This window comes from Homo sapiens, chromosome 9 (assembly GCF_000001405.40).
Source record: "Homo sapiens chromosome 9, GRCh38.p14 Primary Assembly".
Classification (NCBI taxonomy): Eukaryota; Metazoa; Chordata; class Mammalia; order Primates; family Hominidae; genus Homo; species Homo sapiens.
The window spans coordinates 115,305,120-115,327,704 of NC_000009.12; the positions used below are offsets into that span (position 1 = coordinate 115,305,120).

Sequence of the window (22,585 nt, forward strand, 5' to 3'; positions counted from 1 at the left end):
CTTTCTGACTCCAAATCACATACCCTTGACCACTTTGCTACATTGTGTCTACACCAATGTTTGGAGAACCTAAAGCCACCTGTGTTAACTCCATTCCAGCACTTAAGGGAGTTTAACTCAACAATGTCTCCTGGTTAGTATATCCCTTATATCTCAGTTCTCTCTGCTTAACATATACAGATTTCTTTTCAAGAAATGCAAATTATATTTCTCTTGTTCTGTCTTATTTATGTTTTATTTTTTCTTCTTACACTGCGTCCAAGAAACACCTCCTCATGCTTTGGTGTCTTCTTTCTTCTTTTTCCTCTTGTCTGTGTTTAGTTTCCTCGTTTTCTAGTTAGTCCTATAATTCTTACTGATCCTTCTTTACTTTTACATTAGAAAAAAGGAGGGTTTAAAAAGCGTTTTTTAAATGAAAGAAAATAAATTGTCCTTCATTGGACTATTGTTCCTCCAAGCTAGGAAGTTGATGCTTGATTCTCTGATACCCTGGGGGCCTGGGTGGTGTTTTAAGCTGGGAGAAGATCGGCACTCTCCTGAACTGCCTTAGATGCTTCCTTATCCTGGGCCTCTCTGACAGGCAACATGCCTCAACTTTGTCAACAAGTTGTGGTTTGTTTCACTGGCCAAGCATAAGACAGAGCATGAAGGCCGAGCTGCGTGCCTGGTGCTGCATGTTTCCTGTTTCTGTAAGCTATTTGTTGTCAACTCTCTTTTTTCCTTTATGATATTTAATTGAAATCACAGCTTAATGAGGCCTGACCAGTATTTTTCCTTTGGTCACAGATTTGATGCTACTGCCAATGTACCTGAATAAGAAGACAACTCTTTCTGGAAAAAGGGAAAACTTGAAGGGCTATTGAAGGCCGCTAGAAAGGTATTGTTTACATGATGCATTTTCCCCTTATCTTCAACAGGTAAAATTGTTACTAAACTGATGTTTCCTTTAACAATGATAATTTTTATTTGGTAGTCTTGGGATGTCCCTGGGAGCTCAAGTTCAGACAATGAATCTAGATTTTTGCCAGTTGAAGTTCAGGTTTTGTGACCTCACCTAAAATTTGCTCCTGGGGCTTGGAAAGTTTAAAATTGTGCTTTTTTATTTTCCCCTTCTTTTTTTTAGCACAGTTCAGATGCCATGTCCCTAGGAATTTTTCCTTAATTCCCAAATTGCAATAATATATCCATCATCTGCACATCTACATTACTTGTATTTAAACTGTTTCATGGCATTAACCATGTTTTACCCTGATGCAATGAGATACAATGCAGTTAGATGAGAGAATATGAGTACTGGAGCTGGACAGGAATGGATGTGAAGCCCGTGGCAGTTATTTACTGGGTGATCTTAACATCTCAATATTTTCTTCTTCATAAAATGATAATATTAAAAATAATAGACTGTTAATATGACCTACCTTATCTTGTTGTTGGGATAATTTAAGGAAATTACACATTGTATTAGTCTGTTCTCATACTGCTGATGAAGACATACCAAAGACTGGGTAATTTATAAAGGAAAGAGGTTTAATTGACTCACAGTTCCACATGGCTAGGGAGGCCTCACAATCACGGTGGAAGGCAAAGGAGAAGCAAGGACATTTCTTACATGGTGACAGGCAAGACAGCTTGTGCAGGGGAACAAACTCTGATTTATAAAACTATCAGATCTTGTGAGACTTATTCACTACCACGAGAACAGTATGGGGGAAACCACCCCCATGATTCCATTATCTTCACCTGGACCCACCCTTGACATGTGGGGATTATTGCAATTCAAGGTGAGATTTGGGTGGGGACACAGCCAAACCGTATCACACATGTAATAACCTTGGTGCACAGGAGAAGCAATAGATGACTATGATTTTACCATCCTTTGAGTTAATACCCACTATCACTGGTGCCTGTAAAGGGCTGCACTTGTAGAAAGTATGACTCTGTCTTTCCATAACACTAAACATGAAACCTAAGAGCTTTTCATCACGGGGATTTGTCTCATCATCTGGCATGCTTTCTTTGACACCTAGCCAACCCAGTAGGCTTTATCTGAGTTAACCTCATAAAGTATCATATTGTTTCACACAGGGGTTTATTCCTGAAAGTTACTTAATGGTAGTTTTTAAGAAAATTAAATCTTATTTTATAGGCACCTGGGAAAATCATTATTAAAGTGAGTCATATGGCTAATCGTTTTGCGTAAAGGATCCCTTTGGAAAGTGAATAATCTCTTGTTAGTTACCATGCGTATGTTCAGATACCAGCGCTTCTTAGAGAGGTGCTTAATCCATGTATATAAAGTACTCTATACAATCTTATACTTCTGCTAAGAACATTTGCCATGGAATCCAGGGATAGATATACACGAATGATGTTGTGTTACTTTGTAAAATTTGTCTCTGCATTTTTAATAAATTGGTACGTAAATGGATTGGTATGTATTTGGATTCTCTACAACACAAACTTCTAAGATTTTTAGTTTTAGGAATCCTCCAAAAGCCAAGGAAAAACTAGAAGGAAAATGATATTTATTGAGCATCTTTTTGCTAAGCATTATGTGAATCATCTTCACTAACATATTATAGTTATTCCTCATCATAATGCTATGAAAAGTATTGCTTACCTTTTATTGGAGAGAAAAAAAATGAGGCTCAGATAAGTAAATTACACTATGCCAGGTAATTCAGCTAGAAAATAGCAAAGTACAGGATTTGAAATCAGATCTTCTGGATGCCAAATCCCTTACTTATTCCAGTAAAGTACTCTTTCTTGAGAACAATATACTGAATTTCAACGGGAAATAAAATTTAAGATGTGGGTGGTATTTATCTTACTATTCGGGTACTTAAAAAATATCGTACATTATCTTCGGGCCTTATTTTTTAACCTGCCTATGGAACGTGGCTCTAAACCTTTGCACTGAGGCTAGCTTCAGTGAAATTTTGAAGGAGTTAATGCCTTCCTCTTTTTGATACAAGATTAAACATGGATTGCAACTAGAAACCACAAAGCTGAGTGTTTATTAAATATACTAATTTTCCTTTCATCCAGTTGGCCAATGTTTTCAACCATAATCTACTTTTCTCTAAATTTTTCCATGGAGCAGGATGATGATTCCAAATCCTAAAATTCTGAAAAAAAAAAAATCACTTAATGACCACTGGTGAACTCCTGTAAACTCATCCCAGAATCAGTAATGAGTATTTGGAAAAGATTCATGGGTAAGCTCCAATTCTCACCAAAATGGCCCTTTGAGTAGCAATCAAGGATTCTCTGAGGGAACTGGGAAGTTCCAGATGGCTTTTAAGGGAGGCTATTTGGTTTAGTTTAATAGAACTTGGTGCTATTAAGGCCAATGGTTGGAGTCCTTTGTCCTATTCTAGTATATATATACATATACATACGTACATACATATATACTCCTTACTCTATTAATGTATTTAGAAAGTAAATAGTATAGGTTATAAATAGGCAGAAAAAAAAACAGTGGGAATGGCTTAGTGTGAACCATTAACTCTATATATTCATTCAACATGAATTTGCTAAAAGCCCATTAGGTACTAGTCTCTGGAGACACATGGTCAACTTGAACAAGAATTGGCTTTGAGGAAATAATGGACTAAGGGGGATATATAAACAGATAATTGTGATGTGTGTTTTTTGTTTTTTTTTTTTTAATTATACTTTAAGTTTTAGGGTACATGTGCACATCGTGCAGGTTAGTTACATATGTATACATGTGCCATGCTGGTGCACTGCACCCACTAACTCATCATCTAGCATTAGGTATATCTCCCGATGCTATCCCTCCCCCTTCCCCCCACCCCACAACAGTCCCCAGAGTGTGATATTCCCCTTCCTGTGTCCATGTGACCTCATTGTTCAATTCCCACCTATGAGTGAGAATATGCGGTGTTTGGTTTTTTGTTCTTGCGATAGTTTACTGAGAATGATGATTTCCAATTTCATCCATGTCCCTACAAAGGACATGAACTCATCATTTTTTATGGCTGCATAGTATTCCATGGTGTATATGTGCCACATTTTCTTAATCCAGTCTATCATTGTTGGACATTTGGGTTGGTTCCAAGTCTTTGCTATTGTGAATAATGCCGCAATAAACACACTTGTGCATGTGTCTTTATAGCAGCATGATTTATAGGCCTTTGGGTATATACCCAGTAATGGGATGGCTGGGTCAAATGGTATTTCTAGTTCTAGATCCCTGAGGAATCGCCACACTGACTTCCACAATGGTTGAATTAGTTTACAGTCCCACCAACAGTGTAAAAGTGTTCCTATTTCTCTCTCCACATCCTCTCCAGCACCTGTTGTTTCCTGACTTTTTAATGATTGCCATTCTAACTGGTGTGAGATGGTATCTCATTGTGGTTTTGATTTGCATTTCTCTGATGGCCAGTGATGATGAGCATTTTTTCATGTGTGTGTTTTTTGGCTGCATAAATGTCTTCTTTTGAGAAGTGTGTGTTCATGTCCTTCGCCCACTTTTTGATGGGGTTGTTTTTTTCTTGTAAATTTGTTTGAATTCATTGTAGATTCTGGATATTAGCCCTTTGTCAGATGAGTAGGTTGCGAAAATTTTCTCCCATTTTGTAGGTTGCCTGTTCACTCTGATGGTAGTTTCTTTTGCTGTGGAGAAGCTCTTTAGTTTAATTAGATCCCATTTGTCAATTTTGTCTTTTGTTTCCATTGCTTTTGGTGTTTTAAACATGAAGTCCTTGCCCATGCCTATGTCCTGAATGGTAATGCCTAGGTTTTCTTCTACAGTTTTTATGGTTTTAGGTCTAACATTTAAGTCTTTAATCCATCTTGAATTGATTTTTTGTATAAGGTGTAAGGAAGGGATCCAGTTTCAGCTTTCTCCATATGGCTAGCCAGTTTTCCCAGCACCATTTATTAAATAGGGAATCCTTTCCCCATTGCTTGTTTTTCTCAGGTTTGTCAAAGATCAGATAGTTGTAGATATGTGGCGTTATTTCTGAGGGCTCTGTTCTGTTCCATTGATTTATATCTCTGTTTTGGTACCAGTACCATGCTGTTTTGGTTACTGTAGCCTTGTAGTATAGTTTGAAGTCAGGTAGTGTGATGCCTCCAGCTTTGTTCTTTTGGCTTAGGATTGACTTGGCAATGCGGGCTCTTTTTTGGTTCCATATGAACTTTAAAGTAGTTTTTTCCAATTCAGTGAAGAAAGTCATTGGTAGCTTGATGGGGATGGCATTGAATCTGTAAATTATCTTGGGCAGTATGGCCATTTTCACGATATTGATTCTTCCTACCCATGAGCATGAAATGTTCTTCCATTTGTTTGTATCCTCTTTTATTTCCTTGAGCAGTGGTTTGTAGTTCTCCTTGAAGAGGTCCTTCACATCCCTTGTAAGTTGGATTCCTAGGTATTTTATTCCCTTTGAGGCAATTGTGAATGGGAGTTCACTCATGATTTGGCTGTTTGTCTGTTGTTGGTGTATAAGAATGCTTGTGATTTTTGTACATTGATTTTGTATGCTGAGACTTTGCTGAAGTTACTTATCAGCTTAAGGAGATTTTGGGCTGAGACAATGGGGTTTTCTAGATATACAATCATGTCGTCTGCAAACAGGGCTTATGATGCGTATCATAGTCTTACAGATTTATATCTACCTTTACTAAAAGAAGAAGAATGTTGATTAGTAAGTGGCGTTTATTAAGTTTATTAAGTTTAGTAGTAATGAGAATTATTATAATGGTGGTTGCAATTACCATAATTCATTGATCTTTTAATGCTAATCCCAGCACTATGGCCTGTACGTGAATTATTCTATTCAATCTAACAAACTTGTGATATTGGTGATGATGATTATGATTATAGTAACAGAAATAATGGGGAATATAAGGCACATGTATTAAACGTTATTTTCAAGTTACTGTATTGGGTCTTTCAAGGTATTATTTTATTAAATCATGCCAGCAACTCTCTGCAGTTGGTATTATTATCACCATGTTGAAGAACAGTCTGATGCCAAGAGAGTGTCCACAAATTTTCCAAGAATGTACAATGATTAGGTTTATGATTTAAAATCTGGGCTAGATGACCCCACAGTTCATACCCCTAAGTACAGGTCTACCTTGTTTCATTGTGCTTCACTTCACATATACTGTATTTTTTAAAAATATTGAAGGTTTATGGCAACCATGCATTGAGCAAGTCTATAGGTACCATTTCTCCAACAGCATGTGCTCACTCTGTGTTTCTGTTTCACATTTTGGTAATTCTCACAATATTCCAAACATTTTTTGTTATCATTATATCCATTTTGATGGTTCATGATAGTGAGTTTTTGTTTGTTTGTTTTTTGTTTTTTTAGAGAGAGTTGGTGTCTCAGCCTACGGAGTAGCTGGGATTACATGCATGCGCCACCACACCTGCCTGATTTTTGTATTTTTAGTAGAGATGAAGTTTTGCCATGTTGGCCAGACTGGTCTTGAACTCCTGGCCTCAAGTGATCCGCCCACTTTGGCTTCCCAAAGTGCTGAGATTACAGGCAAGAACCACCACACCCGGCCTGATTAGTAATTTTTGATGTCAATATTGTAATTGTTTTGGGGGGCCATGAATCAAGCTCATATAAGACTGTAAACTTAATAAATATTGCGGTCAGCTCCAATGACTGGCCATTTTGCCTCTCTCTTTTTTGGCCTGCCTATTTTCTAGGATACAACAATAATGAAATTAGGCCAATTGATAACCTTACAGTGGCCTGAAAGTGCCCAGGTGAAAGGAATAGTTGTACATCTCACTTCAAATCAAAAGCAAGAAATGATTAAACTCAGTGAGGAAGGCATGTTGAAAGTCAAGATAGGCCAAGAGCTAGGCCTCTTGTGCCAAAGAATTTGGCAAGTTGTGAATGCCAAGGAAAAGTTCTTGAAGCAAATTAAAAGTACTATTCCAATGAACACACTAATGATAAGAAAGCAAAACAGCCTTATTGCTGGTATGAAGACAGTTTTAGTGCTCCACATAGAAAATCAAATCAGCCACAATATTTGCTTAAGCTAAAACCTAACCCTGAGCAACACCTTACCTCTCTTTAATTCTAGGAAGGCTGAGAGAGGTGGCAAAGCTGCAGAAGAAAAGTTTGAAGCTAGCAGAGATTGGTTCATGAGGTTTAAAGAAAGAAGCCATCTTTATATCACAAAAGTTCAAGGTAAAGCAGAAAATATTGATATAGAAGCTGCAACAAGTTATCCAGAAGATCTAGCTAAGATAATTGATGAAGGTGGCTATAATAAACAATAGATTTAGAGTGTAGACAAAACAGCTTTATATTGGAAGAAGATGCCATCTAGGACTTTCATAGCTACAGAGAAGTTAATGCCTGGCTTCAAAGCCTCAAAGAATATGCTGACTCTTGTTATGGGCTAATGCAGCTGTTGACTTTAAGTTAAAGCCAATGTTCATATACCATTCCTAAAAATCCTAAGATTTATGCTAAATGACTCTGCCTGTGCTCTATAAATGGAAGAACAAAGCCTGGATGACTGCACGTCTGTTTACATAATGCTTCACTGAAGATTTTAAGCCCACTGTTGAGACCCACTGCTCAGAAACAAAGATTTCTTTCACAGTATTACTGCTTATAGACCATTCACCTGGTCACCCAAGAGTTCTGATAATATACAAGAAGATTAACCTTACTTTTATGCCCTACGAACACAATATTCATTCTGCAGCTCATGGTTCAAGAAGTAATTTTGACTTTCACATTTCATTACTGAAAAAAATACATTTTGTAAGGCTGTAACTGCCATAGAAAGTGATTCTTCTGATGAATCTGAGCAAAGTAAATAAAAAACCTGGAAAGAATTCACCATTCTAGATGTCACTAGGAGCATTTGTGATTCATGGGAGGATATCAAAATGACAACATTAGCAGAACTTTGGAAGAAGTTGATTCCAACTCTCACATATAAATAACTTTGTTCAAGACGTCAGTGGTGGAAGTAACTGCAGAGGTGGCTTAAATAGGAAGAACACTAGAATTAGAAGTGGATTCTGAAGGCATGGCTGAATTGCTGCTGTCTCATGATAAAACTTGAATGAAAAGGAGTTGCTTTTATGGATGAGCAAAGAGTGGTTGCTTGAGAGGGAATCTACTCTTTGTGAGGATGCTGTGAACATTGCTGAAATGGCAACAAATGATTTAAAATATTGCATAAATTTAGTTCATCAAACAGCATCAGGTTTGAAAGAATTGTCTCCAATTTTGAAGGAAGTTATACTGTGAGCAATATGCTATCAAACAGCATCACATGCCAAAGAGAAATATTTTGTGAAAGGAAGAGTCAATCAACATAGCAAACTTCATTGTTATCTTAAGTAATTTCCATAGCCACCAAACCTTCAGCAACCACCACCCTCACCAGTCAGCAGCCATCAATACTGGGGCAGAATCTCCACTGGCAAAAAGATTAGGACTTGCTGAAGGCTTAGATGACCATTAGCATTTTTAAACAAGAAAGCATTTTTTTAGTTAAGCTATGTGCATTTTTAGATTTGAAAGACATTTCTCAAAAGAAGACATACAAGTGGCAAGCAGGCATATGAAAAGATGCTACACATCATCCATCATCAGATAAATGCAAATCAAAACTACAAGGAGATATCATCTCACACCAGTTAGAATGGCTTATATCCAAAACACAGGCAATAACAAATGCTGATGAGGAAGTGGAGAAAAGAGGACAGTCAATGGGAATGTAAATTAGCACAACTATGGAGTACAGTTTAGAGGTTTCACAAAAAACTAAAAATGAGCTACCATATGATCCAGCAATCCCACTGATGAGTATATATTGAAAAGAAGGTATATCAGTATATTGAAGAGATATCTGCACTCTTATGTTTGTTGCAGCACTGTTTACAGCAACTAAGATTTGGAAGCAACCTAAGTGTTCAACAGATGAATGGTTAAAGAAAATGCGGTACATACAGACAATGGAGTACTACTCAGCCATAAAAAAAATGATATCCAGTCATTTGCAGCAACGTGGATGGAACTGGAGACCATTATGTTAAGTGAAATAAACCAGGCACAGAAAGACAAACATCGCATGTTCTCCCTTATTTGTGGGATCCAAACAACAAAACAATTGAACTCATGCTCATAGAGAGGAGAAGGATGGTTACCAGAGGCTGGGAAAGGTAGTGGGAAGGTGGAAAGGGAGGTGGGGATCGGTAATGTATAAAAAAATACTGGAAAGAGTGAATAAGACCTACTATTTGATAGTACAATGGATGATTATAGTCAATAATAACCTAATTGTATATTTTCAAATAACATAAAGAGTGTAATTGGATTGTTTGTAACTCAAAGGATAAATGCTTGAGGGGACAGATACACCATTCTCCATGATGTGTTTATTTCACATTTCATGACTGTATTAAAACATTTTATGTACCCCATAAATATATATACCTACTACATACCCACAAAAATTAAACATTAAAAAAAGATATGTACATTTTTAAGACACAATGCTATGCACTTAATAGTCCACAGTATAGTGTAAAAGTAACTTTTATATTTACTGGGAGAGCAAAAAAAATTGTGTGACTTGCTTTATTGGTATACTTGCTGTATTTCAGTGGTGTGTAATCAAACCCATAATATTTCAGAGGTTTGCCTGTACACTAAGCCAAGCTGTCTTCTGAGCAGGGTAAACACTGAAGGGTGTCAGGTAGAAAAATAAAAGGAACACATTCTAAGAAAAGGAAGTTTTTTAAAAAATAGTTTTGTAAAACAGTATGTTAGAGAGGTCACTTAATGAGAATGTATAGTGCATGAAGGAAAACAGTGGTAAATAAAGCCCAAAATATAAATTAGTTTCAAATTATAAAGGAATGTGTATTTGCATTTTATCCTATAAGTTGAGAATCAAAGGATAGTCTTCCAAGCAAGGAAGATAAAGATTCACATCTACATTTTTTTTTTTTGAGACAGAGTCTCGCTCTGTCGCCCAGGCTGGAGTGCAGTGGCACGATCTCGGCTCACTGCAAGCTCCGCCTCCCAGGTTCACGCCATTCTCCTGCCTCAGCCTCCCGAGTAGCTGGGACCACAGGCGCACGCCACCATGCCTGGCTAATTTTTTTGTATTTTTAGTAGAGACGGAGTTTCACCGTGTTAGCCAGGATGGTCTCAATCTCCTGACCTCGTGATCCACCCACCTCGGCCTCACATCTACATTTTTAAAGAAAACACCAGATCAAACAAAAAATAAAAATAGTTGACGTGAGTGGGTAACCCAAAGTATGCTAAGGTTACTCAGAATTTTTGAAAATCTGGTTTAAGAATTCTCCTGTATCTGAATATCCCAAATGGTTCATAAATATAAGTAAATAGCTTCTGTCACACAGTATTCTTGAGGTTCTTTATCTCTCTGGTTTGGATTGGTTCCCATGTTGGTTATGTATTGAGAGATAACATCCAGAGGTGAAAACATACTCTACTGAGTAGTGTTGACATAAAATTAACGAAAATTGTTGGAGAAAATCAGCTTTTGGTGAATGTCTGAGCAGAAAATCTGGGCTTTGAGCCCTAGGTAAACTTACTTTCCCACACCCCACTTCCATAGAGTAGACATATTGGAATAGCCTAAAATATCTATCTCTAAAATGGTACCTTTGAAACATTCTAAATTTATTATTTCATTCTTTCATCCTCACCCTTAAAATTTTCATTCCAACTCTGCATCACTGGCTTTTAAAAGTTCTCCAATGCCGGCCAGGTGCGGTGGCTCATGCCTGTAATCCCAGCACTCTGGGAGGCTAAAGCGGGTTGATCACAAGGTCAAGAGATCAAGACCGTCCTGGCCAACGTGGTGAAACCCTATCTCTACTAAAAATACAAAAATTAGCTGGGCGTGGTGGTGCATGCCTGTAGTCCCAGCTACTCAGGAGGCTGAGGCAGGAGAATCGCTTGAACCTGGGAGGCAGAGGTTGCAGTGAGATGAGATTCCGCCACTGCACTCCAGCCTGGGTGACAGAGTGAGACTCTGTCTCAAAAAAAAAAAAAAAAAAAAAAAGTTTTCCAATGCCTCAAGAAACTCCTAATGGTATTCTCAACTTATAAAGAAGGACCAATCTCTAGAACTATAGACTTCTGAAAAGGAAAATGAAAGAACAATCTTTCTTCCTTCTTTCTTCTCTCTTTTCCTTTTTCTTACTCTTCTTTCTGTCCTTTCCTTTCTTCTCTCCCTCCTTCCCTTCCTTTCTGGTATACTTCCTTTCTCCCTTCCTTCCTCCTTTCTTCTTTTATTCATTTTTCTTTATTTCCTCTCTCTTTTTGAACTTTTCTACTCATTTCTTTTCTACCTTTATGTAGTGAAAATGCAAATTTGCTCACATCACAATTCAGACATGCAATAAAAATGTAGCCTGCTTATTTCATCATCATAATCTCCCCTCCTGTTACTTTTCAAAAAAGATTTAAACTAAACTTAATCTACAAGTTTGAAACTTACTTTGATCTAATAATTTAAAAACCTTTTGATTTTTTTTTACCCTATGATATTTACTTTTAGATTCCTCCATTTTCTCCAGTCTCTTTTCTGATTTAGGTGCATGAGGAAAAAGCTAATGGCTTTGGAAGGAAATTTTCTCCTGGCCTCATAGTGCTTTTTGGTAGTGTTCTGGCTAGTAGCCACTGAAGTACAGTTGGTCCGTCATGTTTTAGGCACTCTACTGGGTTTTCTGCTTGCTCCTGAATTACTCCTATGTCCAATTATCCTCTCCTGACTCAGAGTCACATAAATTCTTCCTGCTGACCCAGCCACCCTTAGCTCTCACTGGGATGAATATCTCTCTGAAATTCTCTCATAGTCTCCATTTGGACTGAAGCTTCTGCTTTGGGAGCATCTTACCTATACCACTGGCATAATAACAGGTCTGTTGACTTTCAATTCAGTGTTCATGCCACAAAGAAAGGAGGGGAATTGGGTACTACATAATCTTTCATTCTACAGAGCAAAGACTTGGGGATATATATAAGCTACTTCCTCTTTCTTACTCCTTCTCTCCTTCTTTTACTAACCTTTGGCCCAAAAGAAGCAGATTTTGTTTTCCTCTCTGGTCTAGATGAAACATCTCCCTAAATCATTCATACTTCATGAAGTAGCATCTACGTAAATCATACTGATACATCATGAAGTAGCAACTACCTTCCCATTTCCTCCTATTGTCTTTATTTAGAATGTAGTGCTAGGAGAAATAAAAATGTCTTACTATCAAGGAACTTAAATTTAGAAGTAGTTAGAAATATATTATCACTTCTGTTTCTGGCTATTAGAAAGTAGTGGTGGCTAGAATTATTCCCTTATCATAAATGCTAGAAGACTGGACAAAAGATAGAAAACAAACATTTTTAATCATTGGCTAATATGCAGTAGGACTGTGGTTCCTGTAAAAAGGGAAACAAATGAAGTAAGCCCTGGAATCACGCAGGCTTTCTACTGGGAGGCAATTTCTAGAATGCTTCATAGGGAAGGGCAGCTCAAGGATTAAGAGTAATCTTGCTGAGTAGCTAAGACAGAGATTGCAGTTTATGAGGCCAAAGTGGTTAAAATGTATATAGTTAAGAGAGTACCTGAGAGGAGTGAACTTAACAAAGAACAAGTACCAGAAATCTGCAAAGGGTTTCCTTAAAATTCTTGACTGATCTAGGCTTAGAGTGAAAACTTCAGGCTTATATAAAGAACTTCTGGACAAAGAAGTTACTGGGGAATTTCATGCCAGATGATTCCTGAACACATCATTTTAGTTCCCACCAGCCATAGTGGAGGGGCTTTATTGAATACTGGAGGCATTCACTAGAGATCCCAGAATTTTCATATCTTAGAAGTTAGGCTAAATTAGCTCTGAAGAAAATACTACTCCAGAGTCACCCTGAAAAGCATAAAAACAACTTCAAAGGGACCAAACAAATCTGCAAATAGTCTAACTTCCTGCCACAAGAAAAGGTAGCACTCTTCAAAGAAGTATAAAAAATACACTACTTACAAATGTAACATTCTCAAAAAATACTATATGTACAAAGAAGTAGAAAATGGGGACTCATAACTGGGTGAATATCAGCCAATATAAACAGATCCAGAGATTAAAAAGATGATAAAATTAGCAGACAAAGACATTAAGTATACTTTTGTAAATAAGCTTCATAAGTTCAAGTATTGAAAATAAAGCATAAATATAATGAGGAGAGAAATGAAATATAAGATAAAAAAGAAAAGCAAATGGAACTTCTAGTTGTAAAAACATATCTGAAATTAAATCCCATAGGATGAGAACAATAATACTTCAGAAAAAATAGTAGTGAAAATGAAGATATAACAATAGAAACTATCTAAAATGAAGCAGAGAAAGAAAAGGAGACTGAAAAATATGAACAGAACTTTATTGACCTTTTGGAAAGCATCAAGGAGTTTAAAATTCATGTGACTGAAATCTAAGAAAGGGATCTGAAGAGGCAATGGCTGAAAAAATTTTAAGTTTGATGAAAACCATCAACCCATCAATCTAAAAAGTTCAGTGAGCTCAAAAGAAGATAAATATAAAGCCACATAAGGAAATATCATGATCAAATTTTTAAAAGCAAATATTATAGAAACAGTGAAATAAACTAAACAACAACAACAACAAAAACTTATTATTCTATACCCAGATAAACTATCTTTCAAAATTGAGGGTAAAATAAAACCATCTTTAGACAAAACAAAAAGCTGAGAATATTTGTTACTAGCAAACCTATGCTATAAGTAATGTGACAGGCTGGATACAGTGGTTCGTGCCTATAATCCCAGTACTTTGGGAGGTTGAGGTGAGAAGATCACTTGAGCCCAGGAGTTTGAGATCAGACTGGGCAACATAGTGAGACCCTGTTTCTAAAATAAGGAAAGTAAGAAAGAATGAAAGGAAGAAAAGAAAGAAATGTTATAGGAAGTTCTTTAGGCCTAAGGAAAATGAGCCCCAACTACTGGTATTCACATCTTTGTGTAGTTTCTTCCCACATTGTATCATGTTTGGTCTGTCTAACCAAGGAAATATGGCTGATGTGATGGTATGTCACTTCCGAGATTAGGTTATAAAAGACAAGTCTTTCTATGCCTCTGTTTCTGCCTGTCTCTTCTCATTAATCACTCTGCGAGAAGCCAATTGTGATGTTATAAGAAGACTCAGGCAACCTACGAAAAGGCCCACATTGTAAGAAACTGTGGTTTCAGCCAACAGGCATGTGAATGAGCTTGGAAATGAATTCTCCAGCCACAGATGACTTCATCCCTAATGGGCTGATATGGTTTGGCTCTGTGTTCTCACCCAAATTTCACCTTGTAGCTTCCATAATTCCCACATGTTGTAGAAGGGACCTGATGGGAGATGACTGAATCATGAGGGTGGGTCTTTTCCATGCTGTTCTTGTGATAGTGAATGGGTCTCATGACATATGATGGTTTTAAAAACAGGAGTTTCTCTACACAAGAACTCTTTTTGCCTGCTGCCATCCACATAAGATGTGACTTTCTCCTCCTTGCTTCCCACCATAATTGTGAGGCCTTCCCACCCATGTGGAACTACAAGTCCAATAAACCTCTTTCTTCAGTAAATTGTCCAGTCTCGGGTATGTCTTTATCAGCAGTGTGAAAACGGACTAATAAATGGGCAGTATGACTACAACCTCTTGAGACACCCTGACCAGTACATCCATCTAAGCTCTCTTGGATCTCTGACTGAAAAAAAAAAACAAAACTGTAAGATAGTAAGTATTTGTTGCTATAAGATGCTATGTTTTGGGGGCATTTGTTATGCAGCTATAGATAACTAACATACTTTCAAATTAATTCTACAAGGCAACATTATCCAGAAATAAAATACACCCAATATTCTTATAAAAAAGATTCAAAATATTTAATAAATACTAGCAAATCAAATAGAGCAATATATAAAATGTATTACAGTATGACTAAGTGAGTTCTACCCCAGAAATGTAATGTTTATCTATTAATCAAAATGACACAACAAAATTTACTGTATTTACAGGGTAAAAAACAAACACCAAAACTAAAGGATTACCTCAATAGAGGCAGAGTAAGCATTTGAATAAAATCAATATGTATTAAGATACAAACCTCTCAGAGCCCTAGAAGTAGAGGGAGCTTTTAACCTGATAAAAAGCAAGCAAGCAAGTGACAATAACAACAAAAACTTTTGTTAACTCATATTTAATTGTGAAGGACTGACTGCATTTTCCATGAAATCAGAGAGAAGGCAAGGTTCTTTACTTCTTCACTTTTTTTTTTTGAAATGGAGTTTCACTGTTGTTGCCCAAGCTACAGTGCAATGGCATGATCTTGGCTCACTGCAACCCCTGCCTCCCAGGTTCAAGCGATTCTCCTGCCTCAGCCTCCTGAGTAGCTGGGATTATAGGTGTGCACCAGCATGCCCGGTCAATTTTTTGTATTTTTAGTAGAAACAGGGTTTCACCATGTTAGCCAGGCTGGTCTAGAACTCCTGACCTCAGGTGATCCGCCCGCCTTGGCCTCCCAAAGTGCTGGGATTACAGGCATGAGCCACCGCATCCAGCCCTGGTTCTTTGCTTTCATAATTTCTATTCAGCATTATACTGGAAGTCCTATGCAATGAAATAACACAAGAATTCAAACTTATAAAAAAATAAAAATTGCCTTTATTTTCAGGCAAGATTTAGAAGAAACCATAGGAGTAAATATTTGCTATTGGGAATAGTGAAAAAAAGTTCTTAAATAAGACACAAAAAAGTATAAACCATGAAAGTAAATATTAGTAAATATACTTCATGGAATTTAAACATTTCTGCTCTTCACAATATATTCTTACAAATTTGAAGGGCAAGCTATGGACTATGAGAAAATATTTTCAATAGGTACGTCTAACAAAGGACTTGTATCTAGAATATATATATAAGAACATTTACAGCTTAAAAATAAGAAGATAAACTGCTCAATAAATATTGGCAAAAAATTTTAGCAGACACTTTACAAAAGAAGACACAAATGACCAATAAGCTTATGGAAACATGTTAAGCATCATTAGACATCATGAAAATACAAATTAAAACCATAGTGAGATGCCACTGCACAACCATTACAACGGCTATGATTTTAAAAAATGATTTTAAGTTTTGGTGAGAAGTGCAACAACTGGAAACTCAAATGTTGCTAATGGGAATGCACAATATTTTGGAAAAGTTTGGCAATTTCTTATAATGTTCAACAAATGCTTACAATATGATCCAGAAATTCCACTCCTACGTGGTTACCCTAGAGAAATGTAAACGTCTGTCCACACAAAGATTTTTACTTGAATGGTCCCAGCAGCTTTATTCATAATAACTGATAACATAAGTGAAATGACCTAAATATTCATTAATTGGTGAATGGATAAGAAAAGTGTGGCATATTAATACAATAGAATATTATTCTGCAAATAAAAATGAACCAACTACTGATATGCACAACATAATGAATGCATTATTCTAAGTGAAAGAAGCCAGAGTCAGAAGACTACACACTATGATTAAAATTTTGTGAAATTTTAGAAAAGGCAAAACTATAGTGACAGAAACAGATAAATCACTGCCAAGAGCCTGAGGGAGTGGAGAAGGAATTTATTGCAGAGACAAGGGTATTTTTTGCAGTGATAGAAATGCTCTATATTATTACTATTGTAGTTGTGGTTACATACATTTGTCTAAACTCATTGAAATATGCACTCAATCTTGGTAGGTTTTATTGCATGTAAACATACCTCAGTGAAGCTGACTTTTAAACGTTATACACTTGTTGAGTGATACAATTTTGAACGTCACTGTACAACTAATAGAAAACAAAGTTATGGCCTAAAATGGGCCATTTTTTCAACCAATATAGATTTATCACTTATTATGTGCCAAAGGCTAGTCTAGTTATTCAAGACAAAGTGATGAACTAGACAGTGAGTGAAATAGGTGAGTAAACAGGAAATTTAAAAAATAAAGAAACAGTGTAACTGATATGATAATGGTAATCACAATGCTATGGATTCAGAGAGAAGAGGTACCCAACTCAGCCTTGGGGCCAGGAAAGGTAGTATTAGAGTGGAAAACAGATGGAAGAATATGTAAAAGGGATGGGGGTGTGGGAAATGATACAAGGAGTGGGTAATGTATACCTTGAACTTGGAGTGAGAGAGCAGAGGGTGGCCTGTGAGTAAACCTGAAGTTAGACATGAGTAGGCTTATTCAACGTACAGTTGAGAAACGGAATTTGGAGAATTTAATAATTGTTACATGTGAAAACTGAGGCAAAGAAGGAGGACAAGGATGTTATTACTTTTCTAAATTGATTAACTGGGAAAATTATGGCACTATTCATTGAAATTGAAATACATGAGCAAAGAAATGGGCTTAGTGAAAGGCTGGGGGAGAAGAAGGGAGACGTTATAAATATTGAATATAAAGTACCTTTGAGATATCCCAGCGCAGTCTGTAAAAGACCATTGAAATAAAGCCTGGAGCACAGAAAACTGACTTGAGATAGAGATACAGGTTTGGGTAAATGAACTCATTGAAATCATCACAAAAGAGCATGAGATCAACCGGAGAGATGGGGAAACACGAAACAGGAAGGCCCAAGATGGTCGAAGTTTGTGACCGTCAAACATCATGGTGTAGCCATAAAATAAGTACTTAGTAAAAAGTATTGTTATTACCATTACAATTCTGGCTGTAGGTGACGTTAAAGCCCCAAAACAAAGCATCATGCTACCTCTACATGCTAATGGGATGTAGCCACTAGAGAAGGGATATAAGTGGAGTGACATTCTTCTGAACATCAAAAAGGATGAGATCCAGAGTATGGGATCCAGTTTTTGGTAAGATAAAGGACATTCCTTTCGGTCTATCAGGAGCGTGGAAGGAAGTAATGAGTGAAGATGCAAATACGTGTGTAACTTTTATGACACAAAGTTGAGGGAGCTTTGACTGATGGCTTTTGTTTTTTTCTGTGGAGTCAAGGTCATACGGAGACTAAGCGAGAGAGGTGGGAGTCATAGGTTTGAGAGCAAAGAAGACAGTTTGAAATATGCTGCCTCAGAAAAGGGGAAAGTACTTCCCATAGAAACATAATAGATCCCTGGGCATTATTAAGGACCTAGTTAAGGTTGAGGACCATGAATTAAGAGCATTTCCAATTGAGAGCGATTTTTTTTTTCTTTCCACAATTACTCAGCAACCCAACTGCAAGGTTGAGAAAATAGCAAGTTGAGTTTATTCAGGTTTGAAGTTTTACAGATGACTCATAATAAGATAATTACAACTTAAGAAATTAAAGATTTTGAAGACAGTAATTAATGTGATTATCAATAAAATCTTAGCTAGATAATGAGAGAAGTGGAAACAGGGGAGTCCTGAGAAGTAAGGAGAAAGTAAAGGAGTCGGTAAACTGGAAGTTCCTAGAAGGCCTATAAAATAGTATATTGTGGATCAGTGAATTGGGATAATGTGGCCAAAGTGAAGAAATTGAGACCATAGGGGATGAAGAGGGCAAGGAATCTGCAAAGCTAGGTTGTTGAAAGGATCACCCAATGCCGAAATCACCAATAATAGCAATGCCTGTGGTGGGAGAAGATGGAAAGGCAGAGGCCAATCTTCAGAGAATTTAGAGGATTGGCCAGGACATAAAGTCTTTTGATCAAGTGCTAGGAGTACCCCAAGGTGGAATCACAGGCAAACACTTTCAGTAAGTGGGAACTGTATGGAAGGAGTGAGGAAATCTAATCCAGAAGTGGTGATACAAGCCGGGAGAACACGGACTCCCAACCTTCAGTGACATGGGAGGTGGGAGGAGGAACATCCTCCCCATGAGTGGTCTATTGTGTGGCTTGAATAAGTGGGGTTTATGGAGAGTTTCCTGGCTCAATGTTGCTGATATGCATAGGAGGAATAGAGTCTTTTTGGTGATTGGAGACCCTTCAGGATGGATGAGGGAGCAGACAGCCTGGTGGTGAAGGTGATGAGCTCTGCTGCATTCTCCACCAATGTCAGTGGCCATTCTCTCAGTCTGAGCAGTAGTGAAGTAATTAAAGCTCTAGCATCAGTCAGGCCTGGGTGGAGCCCAGGTTCTGCTCATCACTCACTGCATGTGGGACCTTCTTTGAATTCCAGGTTCTTCAACTGCAAAATGAGGATAATATTATTTACCTCAGGATTGTTTTAAAACTCCAATAAAGTGTTCAAAAAAAAAGTTTATGGCTGGGCGCAGTGGCTCACGCCTGTAATCCCAGCACTTTGGGAAGCCAAGACGGGTGGATCACGAGGTCAGGAGATCGAGACCATCCTGGCTAACACGGTGCAAACCCATCTCTACTAACAATACAAAAAATTAGCTGGGCATAGTGGTGGGCTCCTGTAATCCCAGCTACTCAGGAGGCTGAGGCAGGAGAATGGCGTGAACCCGGGAGGCGGAGGCTGCAGTGAACCAAGATCGCACCACTGTACTCCAGCCTGGGCGACTGACCAAGACTCCATCTCAAAAAAAAAAAAAAAAAAAAAAAAAAAGTTTATGATAGGTCAGACAGCATTGTGTAGTTATAAAATGTTTATTAAGGGGTATTGTTGTTACTACTATTTCAACTCTGAGTACAGATGATTTTGGAGCCCAAAAATAAAGTATTATGCTTAATGAGATAAACTTTCACTTAATCTGGATGATGAAGGTAAAAGTATACTAGTTTGCCAAATGAAAAAGATGAAATTCTTTAGATAATGAGACCTTTATTTCTCAAGATAGATCTTTAAACAATGTAAAATGTCAAAGAACCTAATCATCAGAGTTATTTTTCTACCTTCTTCAATAATGGGTCTGGAAATACAGAATGATTTAACTTTTCCTGTGTTGACAAGAGCAAAGTGTTTGGAAAGGGGAGCTGGGGGAGAGAATTGTAAGGCCCTGAACTCTTTACAATGCCCCAGCCCTGGTTATGCAGTCTGCCGAATTTTGATGAGAGAGCTGTATTCCTGTAAGAGACATCATCGTCCAGATGTAGATGCACTGCCGTGATGTCCAAATAGGAAACAAAGACCACTTGGAAGTGGATACTTTCCTGAACTTACTGCTCTGATGAGGGGCCCTTCTTTTGAAGCAAAATGAGTCTTCATGTAGCTGAGAACTCTCTTCTCCTATCACTTTACAAACTCTATCTTCCCCCAAAGGCCTTTCCAAAGGAAGCAGCCAGGCTCAGTGGCCATGATGTTTTCCTGAAGGTATGGGAGATAGATTATCCAGTTAAAAACACAGTTATTTCCCTAAACCTGACTTAACCTCTGCATATAACTGCCTGGAGCCTATTCAACGCAGTTGACAATTGCCTGCCCCGGGGCCTCCCTCTGTCCTGAAATTACCCATTTAAATCTTCCTATTTTTTTTAATCCCTAATAGTCTGTGGCCTACTTTTTGTTGTTTACGTTTTGTATGTTTTTCAAAACCCCAAAGATTTGCTTCAAATTCTACTCATTCATTTATTTTGTAAATAAATGCATTCATTCAATGTTGTCGTGAGTTGGGAGGGAGAAATGTCTGACTGTTCATTTTTCTGCCAAATGATTATATAGAACTTAATAGTATGAATTATGAATCAGACTGCTTGGGATTGAATCACAGGTCTGCCACTATCTATGTGACCTTGAGTAAGTTGTTTAACCTCTCTGCACCTCAGTTCCCATCTGTGAAATGGGGATATAATAATAACTTCATGGAGTTGTTGTGAGGATTAAATTAATTCATAAATACAAAGTACTTAAAACGGTGCCTGGTGCAGCTTAAGAGCTATAGACAACTTTGCTATTATTTATCTAGTGATCTTAGCATGCCCCATTAGAATGGAAAGGGGTGGAGCTTCATAAATCTTTTTGAAGTGAGATCTTCAAGACATGGATGCTGATAGATGCCAGACTATCATGGATGCGAGTCTCAGCATCTGATGGGATAAGAACATGGTTTATCATTTTTGATCCTGAATTTGAATAGGTAAGAGATGAGTAATGAGAAAAAAGAAGGGAGGAAAAGAAGTCTGCAAAATAGAGACTGAGACCGGGCAATATAAAGGGTTTGTAAAGCATCTTGATAGTGAGATGTCTGGAGGAGATTTCTAAACGGGTTCTGTTCTGCTCTTTGATAGTTGTTTTGTTGGTGGCTATAGAGATTTTTTTTTCCCCCTGAAGCTCCTCTCCCCATTATTGTGTGAAGTTCACTCTTCTTGCAAATGTGAGTGGAGTTTTTAGAAATTCAAAGCAATAGTTGAATTTTTTCTCCAGCTAAGTCTTCTAGACTAAAACAGAGATACCCATCTAGAAACAAATATTGAGAGACAAGAGGTGCTGGGTTTTCTGAAAATTTGCCAAAGTACTGGAGAAGATGTCTACAGGCTGCACAGTTGGGGAGGATAAGAAGCTAATTTTGCTGAGATCTCAAAGGTCAGCGAGACCCTAGATAAAATATAAACCAACATTTACTAGAAGCAGCTGTGTAGTAGTCATTTCCCAGAGGTCTGAGAATTAAGACCTATCACTAGCCCTTCTGTGTTATGTTAGCGAGTAACCATGTTACGTGCCTAGTTTAGGGTAGGATGATATTGATGGGTGGAGAAGTCAGAGAAGGGTCTGCTCCTCTCCTTGATTCATCCACTCACCCTCTTGCTTTGAACTTCTCCAAATGGCTGAGGTTTTAGACTTTACACTGGTGGAATTTCATATACAATCACATAATAGGCACATAAAATATATTTCATCTAATCTTTCTAACAGCCCCAAGAGGCAGATCATACTGTCTTTTCAAAAAAAAAATAACAGTAAGGTGAGGAGATTCATAGTTATAGGTGTGAACGGGCTTTAGGATCTGATAAGCCGAAACTGGATTGATTGATAGCTTTGCCTGGTCCTATCTGTAGGTCCTTGAGCAAAGTATCTAACTTCTAGGAGCTTATATTTTCTCTGAACAAGGAGATCTTGAAGGATTGTGTAACAGTTACAACAGAGTGCCAGTTGTTGGAAAATACCTACAAAATGGTGGTGTTACTATTTTCTTATTCTTTTGCACTTTTTTTTATATCCATAGATAGTAAATGCTCAACAATTCAGTGATGAAATTAAGTGAAATTATCTTCCTAAACTAGGCTACTATAGTCCTGTTAACTCCTGCGTGTAGTTTACAATGAATCCTTGTGTCCCTTGTATGGAAAAATCTGCTTAATTTATCAGCTCTGCCAAGTTCTTACAAAAACAAAAGAAAAGGTGAAGAAGCAGAAAAACAAATGGAAGATATCCTTTCTGTAGTCTTTTACTGTTGACATAGATTTCCTCTGCAGAAGAGAAAACTATGGCTTTAAAACTGGGATGGTTCATACTCAAAAAGAATCAGAGCTGGTCTGGTATGAGTTGGTTATGGACTGAAAGGGTTAGGTTATGTCAAAACTTTTCATGAGCTAGTACAAGCAGGATTCTCTTGTTTATTGTTATATTTTAAAAGACAT

General features: G+C 37.4%; 1 long non-coding RNA gene across 1 annotated transcript in view; it reads left to right on the forward strand.

The window, feature by feature from the left end:
- Positions 1–22,585, forward strand: part of DELEC1 (deleted in esophageal cancer 1) — a 260,827-nt gene that overhangs the window by 163,302 nt on the left and 74,940 nt on the right. The window contains exon 4 of the long non-coding RNA NR_163556.2: positions 787–877. This is a non-coding gene — a long non-coding RNA (deleted in esophageal cancer 1). The remainder of the gene's footprint in view (positions 1–786; positions 878–22,585) is intronic.